Here is a 6,596-nt window from a genome sequence, read left to right on the forward strand (position 1 = left end):
GTCCTTGCCCATGCCTATGTCCTGAATGGTAATGCCTAGGTTTTCTTCTAGGGTTTTTATGGTTTTAGGTCTAACGTTTAAATCTTTTATCCATCTTGAATTGATTTTTGTATAAGGTGTAAGGAAGGGATCCAGTTTCAGCTTTCTACATATGGCTAGCCAGTTTTCCCAGCACCATTTATTAAATAGGGAATCCTTTCCCCATTGCTTGTTTTTCTCAGGTTTGTCAAAGATCAGATAGTTGTAGATATGTGGCGTTATTTCTGAGGGCTCTGTTCTGTTCCATTGATCTATATCTCTGTTTTGGTACCAGTACCATGCTGTTTTGGTTACTGTAGCCTTGTAGTATAGTTTGAAGTCAGGTAGTGTGATGCCTCCAGCTTTGTTCTTTTGGCTTAGGATTGACTTGGTGATGCGGGCTCTTTTTTGGTTCCATATGAACTTGAAAGTAGTTTTTTCCATTTCTGTGAAGAAAGTCATTGGTAGCTTTATGGGGATGGCATTGATTCTGTAAATTACCTTGGGCAGTATGGCCATTTTCACGATATTGATTCTTCCTACCCATGAGCATGGAATGTTCTTCCATTTGTTTGTATCCTCTTTTATTTCCTTGAGCAGTGGTTTGTAGTTTTCCTTGAAGAGGTCCTTCACATCCCTTGTAAGTTGGATTCCTAGGTATTTTATTCTCTTTGAAGCAATTGTGAATGGGAGTTCACTCATGATTTGGCTCTCTGTTTGCCTGTTGTTGGTGTATAAGAATGCTTGTGATTTTTGTACATTGATTTTGTATCCTGAGACTTTGCTGAAGTTGCTTATCAGCTTAAGGAGATTTTGGGCTGAGACAATGGGGTTTTCTAGATATACAATCATGTCGTCTGCAAACAGGGACAATTTGACTTCCTCTTTTCCTAATTGAATACCCTTTATTTCCTTCTCCTGCCTAATTGCCCTGGCCAGAACTTCCAACACTATGTTGAATAGGAGTGGTGAGAGAGGGCATACCTGTCTTGTGCCAGTTTTCAAAGGGAATGTTTCCAGTTTTTGCCCATTCAGTGTGATATTGGCTGTGGGTTTGTCATAGATAGCTCTTATTATTTTGAAATACGTCCCATCAATACCTAATTTATTGAGAGTTTTTAGCATGAAGGGTTGTTGAATTTTGTCAAAGGCTTTTTCTGCATCTATTGAGATAATCATGTGGTTTTTGTCTTTGGCTCTGTTTATATGATGGATTACATTTCTTGATTTGCATATATTGAACCAGCCTTGCATCCCAGGGATGAAGCCCACTTGATCATGGTGGATAAGCTTTTTGATGTGCTGTTGGATTCGTTTTGCCAGTATTTTATTGAGGATTTTTGCATCAATGTTCATCAAGGATATTGGTCTAAAATTCTCTTTTTTGGTTGTGTATCTGCCCGGCTTTGGTATCAGAATGATGCTGGCCTCATAAAATGAGTTAGGGAGGATTCCCTCTTTTTCTATTGATTGGAATAGTTTCAGAAGGAATGGTACCAGTTCCTCCTTGTACCTCTGGTAGAATTTGGCTGTGAATCCATCTGGTCCTGGACTCTTTTTGGTTGGTAAACTATTGATTATTGCCACAATTTCAGCTCCTGTTATTGGTCTATTCAGAGATTCAACTTCTTCCTGGTTTAGTCTTGGGAGAGTGTATGTGTTGAGGAATTTATCCATTTCTTCTAGATTTTCTAGTTTATTTGCGTAGAGGTGTTTGTAGTATTCTCTGATGGTAGTTTGTATTTCTGTGGGATCAGTGGTGATATCCCCTTTATCATTTTTTATTGTGTCTATTTGATTCTTCTCTCTTTTTTTCTTTGTTAGTCTTGCTAGCGGTCTATCAATTTTGTTGATCCTTTCAAAAAACCAGCTCCTGGATTCATTGATTTTTTGAAGGGTTTTTTGTGTCTCTATTTCCTTCAGTTCTGCTCTGATTTTAGTTATTTCTTGCCTTCTGCTAGCTTTTGAATGTGTTTGCTCTTGCTTTTCTAGTTCTTTTAATTGTGATGTTAGGGTGTCAATTTTGGATCTTTCCTGCTTTCTCTTGTGGGCATTTAGTGCTATAAATTTCCCTCTACACACTGCTTTGAATGCGTCCCAGAGATTCTGGTATGTTGTGTCTTTGTTCTCGTTGGTTTCAAAGAACATCTTTATTTCTGCCTTCATTTCGTTATGTACCCAGTAGTCATTCAGGAGCAGGTTGTTCAGTTTCCATGTAGTTGAGCAGCTTTGAGTGAGATTCTTAATCCTGAGTTCTAGTTTGATTGCACTGTGGTCTGAGAGACAGTTTGTTATAATTTCTGTTCTTTTACATTTGCTGAGGAGAGCTTTACTTCCAACTATGTGGTCAATTTTGGAATAGGTGTGTTGTGGTGCTAAAAAAAATGTATATTCTGTTGATTTGGGGTGGAGAGTTCTGTAGATGTCTATTAGGTCCACTTGGTGCAGAGCTGAGTTCAATTCCTGGGTATCCTTGTTGACTTTCTGTCTCGTTGATCTGTCTAATGTTGACAGTGGGGTGTTAAAGTCTCCCATTATTAATGTGTGGGAGTCTAAGTCTCTTTGTAGGTCACTCAGGACTTGCTTTATGAATCTGGGTGCTCCTGTATTGGGTGCATATATATTTAGGATAGTTAGCTCTTCTTGTTGAAATGATCCATTTACCATTATGTAATGGCCTTCTTTGTCTCTTTTGATCTTTGTTGGTTTAAAGTCTGTTTTATCAGAGACTAGAATTGCAACCCCTGCCTTTTTTTGTTTTCTATTTGCTTGGTAGATCTTCCTCCATCCTTTTATTTTGAGCCTATGTGTGTCTCTGCACGTGAGATGGGTTTCCTGAATATAGCACACTGATGGGTCTTGACTCTTTATCCAATTTGCCAGTCTGTGTCTTTTAATTGGAGCATTTAGTCCATTTACATTTAAAGTTAATATTGTTATGTGTGAATTTGATCCTGTCATTATGATGTTAGCTGGTGATTTTGCTTGTTAGTTGATGCAGTTTCTTCCTAGTCTCGATGGTCTTTACCTTTTGGCATGATTTTGCAGTGGCTGGTACCGGTTGTTCCTTTCCATGTTTAGCGCTTCCTTCAGGAGCTCTTTTAGGGCAGGACTGGTGGTGACAAAATCTCTCAGCATTTGCTTGTCTGTAAAGTATTTTATTTCTCCTTCACTTATGAAGCTTTGTTTGGTTGGATATGAAATTCTGGGTTGAAAATTCTTTTCTTTAAGAATGTTGAATATTGGCCCCCACTCTCTTCTGGCTTGTAGGGTTTCTGCCGAGAGATCCACTGTTAGTCTGATGGGCTTCCCTTTGAGGGTAACCCGACCTTTCTCTCTGGCTGCCCTTAACATTTTTTCCTTCATTTCAACTTTGGTGAGTCTGACAATTATGTGTCTTGGAGTTACTCTTCTCGAGGAGTATCTTTGTGGCGTTCTCTGTATTTCCTGAATCTGAACGTTGGCCTGCCTTGCTAGATTGGGGAAGTTCTCCTGGATAATATCCTGCAGAGTGTTTTCCAACTTGGTTCCATTCTCCCCATCACTTTCAGGTACACCAATCAGACGTAGATTTGGTCTTTTCACATAGTCCCATATTTCTTGGAGGCTTTGCTCAGTTCTTTTTATTCTTTTTTCTCTAAACTTCCCTTCTCGCTTCATTTCATTCATTTCATCTTCCATTGCTGATACCCTTTCTTCCAGTTGATCGCATCGGCTCCTGAGGCTTCTGCATTCTTCACGTAGTTCTCGAGCCTTGGTTTTCAGCTCCATCAGCTCCTTTAAGCACTTCTCTGTATTGGTTATTCTAGTTATACATTCTTCTAAATTTTTTTCAAAGTTTTCAACTTCTTTGCCTTTGGTTTGAATGTCCTCCCGTAGCTCAGAGTAATTTGATCGTCTGAAGCCTTCTTCTCTCAGCTCGTCAAAGTCATTCTCCATCCAGCTTTGTTCTGTTGCTGGTGAGGAACTGCGTTCCTTTGGAGGAGAGGCGCTCTGCATTTTAGAGTTTTCAGTTTTTCTGTTCTGTTTTCTCCCCATCTTTGTGGTTTTATCTACTTTTGGTCTTTGATGATGGTGATGTACAGATGGGTTTTCGGTGTGGATGTCCTTTCTGTTTGTTAGTTTTCCTTCTAACAGACAGGACCCTCAGCTGCAGGTCTGTTGGAATACCCTGCCGTGTGAGGTGTCAGTGTGCCCCTGCTGGGGGTGCCTCCCAGTTAGGCTGCTCGGGGGACAGGGGTCAGGGACCCACTTGAGGAGGCAGTCTGCCGGTTCTCAGATCTCCAGCTGCATGCTGGGAGAACCACTGCTCTCTTCAAAGCTGTCAGACAGGGACACTTAAGTCTGCAGAGGTTACTGCTGTCTTTTTGTCTGTGCCCTGCCCCCAGAGGTGGAGCCTACAGAGGCAGGCAGGCCTCCTTGAGCTGTGGTGGGCTCCACCCAGTTCGAGCTTCCCGGCTGCTTTGTTTACCTAAGCAAGCCTGGGCAATGGCGGGCGCCCCTCCCCCAGCCTCGCTGCCGCCTTGCAGTTTGATCTCAGACTGCTGTGCTAGCAATCAGCGAGATTCCGTGGGCGTAGGCCCCTCCGAGCCAGGTGTGGGATATAGTCTCGTGGTGCGCCGTTTTTTAAGCCGGACTGAAAAGCGCAATATTCGGGTGGGAGTGACCCGATTTTCCAGGTGTGTCCGTCACCCCTTTCTTTGACTCGGAAAGGGAACTCCCTGACCCCTTGCGCTTCCCAAGTGAGGCAATGCCTCGCCCTGCTTCGGCTCGCGCACGGTGCGCACACCCACTGACCTGCGCCCACTGTCTGGCACTTCCTAGTGAGATGAACCCGGTACCTCAGATGGAAATGCAGAAATCACCCGTCTTCTGCGTCGCTCACGCTGGGAGCTGTAGACCGGAGCTGTTCCTATTCAGCCATCTTGGCTCCTCCCAAGCTGTAAATTTTCTGAGGCCTGAGATCCTGAATCTTAGCAGATGGTAAACACTACATCTCTTGTTGGTGAGTGAAAGAATGGATGGAAGTAGACGTCATAGGTAAAAGTGAATAAAATATTGAGGGGGATCACCCCCACAGCCTCAGTTTGCTTAAGGAAATGTCTAGGTCATATTGGCAAGCTATTAGTATGCATTAATTTTGTTCAACATCTGTCATTTCTTCAGTGGAAGCATCAGGACCCTTCCTTCTCCTGGGGCTCCACACTGCTGAATCTGCTACACCTTCACTGAGTCTTTTCACTGAACCTTTCCTGGTAACCCGGTTTTTATTAGACCCTGGTAATGAACAGGCCCTCCTGCAGAGTGTGGCCTTGGCAACTGGATATCTCAGGACCAGCTGAGAACGCCATGAGTAGGGGCTGTTAAATAAACTTAAACCACCCTTTCCCCACCTTAAATAGCATGTGTATCATTTTAACTCCAAGACAAGTCAGCGTTAGCATTTCTCTGATGCTCAGCACTTGCCTTGCTCCCCATTCAACTCCCCACCATGTGACAATGGTTTCCTGACTGTCAGCAGTGTGGTCCTCACATATTTACAAGGCATGGATGGTGCACTTCCAGAGGCTCATGTCCAAGTCTTATTTACTTGCATGTACTCAATGCTTAATCCAATGCGGGGATCATGTAATTGTATCAAGCAGTGAACAAACAAATAAATGAATGGTCAGATTTTTTTAAAAACGTGTACCTCCTTGGAACACCACTGACTGACCTGAAAGTTCCTTCTTGCCTTCCTGCCTCCTCCTCCCTGGCCCCAGCTCCCTCTCGCCTTCCATGTCCCAGATGTCAACTCCAAGCCACCAGTTCTTAACTTCGCCTGCACTTTGGTGTCCTCCAGCGATTCAAAAATATAGATGTCTTGGTCCTGCTCCTGGAGATTTTGATTTGGTTGGTCATGAGTATGACTCTTTTAAAACAACCCATGGGACCCTATTGTGCAGCCCAAGCTGAAAACGGTGTCTTCCTCGCACTGACTGAGGACGTCGGTTCTGATGTCTTCCTCGCACTGACTGAGGATCTCGGTTCTCATATCTTCCTCACACTGACTGAGGATCTCGGTTCTGATGTCTTCCTCGCACTGACTGAGGATCTCTGTTTTGATGTCTCCCTCGCACTGACTGAGGATCTCGGTTCTCATATCTTCCTCTCATTGACTGAGGATCTCGGTTCTCATATCTGTCTCGCACTGACGGAGGATCTCGGTTCTGGTGTCTTCCTCGCACTTGAGGATCTCGGTTCTGGTGTCTTCTTCGCACTGACTGAGGACCTCGGTTCTGGTGTCTGCCTCGGCACCTGCATCCCACCTGCTTCCCACCTGCTTTTCACCTCTATAATCCTCACCACCTTATCAGGAGCTGCTCGTTCTGGCCAGAAGCAGGCCTAATACAAGCTTCTTGTGTGCACATCAGTGACACGCAGCAGCAGCGAGCAGCTCAGTTCCTCCATCTCAGATTGTCTGAGAGACTGCTTTCGAATCGCTGCTTCCCATGCATTGAGCCACCTGGAAGGGTTTCCTATAATCACATACAACAGGGAGCTGTTCTTCTCCTAGGACGGCCTCTCCTAGTGGGGAC

At 43.9% G+C, this 6,596-nt stretch overlaps 1 annotated feature.

Moving 5' to 3' along the window:
- Positions 4,062-4,655: an enhancer, noted in NCBI's record as "NANOG-H3K27ac-H3K4me1 hESC enhancer chr8:73064806-73065399 (GRCh37/hg19 assembly coordinates)". NCBI's record gives its function as "activates a minimal SCP1, AML or CMV promoter by ChIP-STARR-seq in naive and primed H9 embryonic stem cells {active_cell/tissue: H9 hESC(naive and primed)}" and the evidence as "EXISTENCE:reporter gene assay evidence [ECO:0000049][PMID:30033119]".

The sequence above is a fragment of the Homo sapiens genome, chromosome 8 (genome assembly GCF_000001405.40).
Source record: "Homo sapiens chromosome 8, GRCh38.p14 Primary Assembly".
In the NCBI taxonomy this organism is placed as follows: domain Eukaryota; kingdom Metazoa; phylum Chordata; class Mammalia; order Primates; family Hominidae; genus Homo; species Homo sapiens.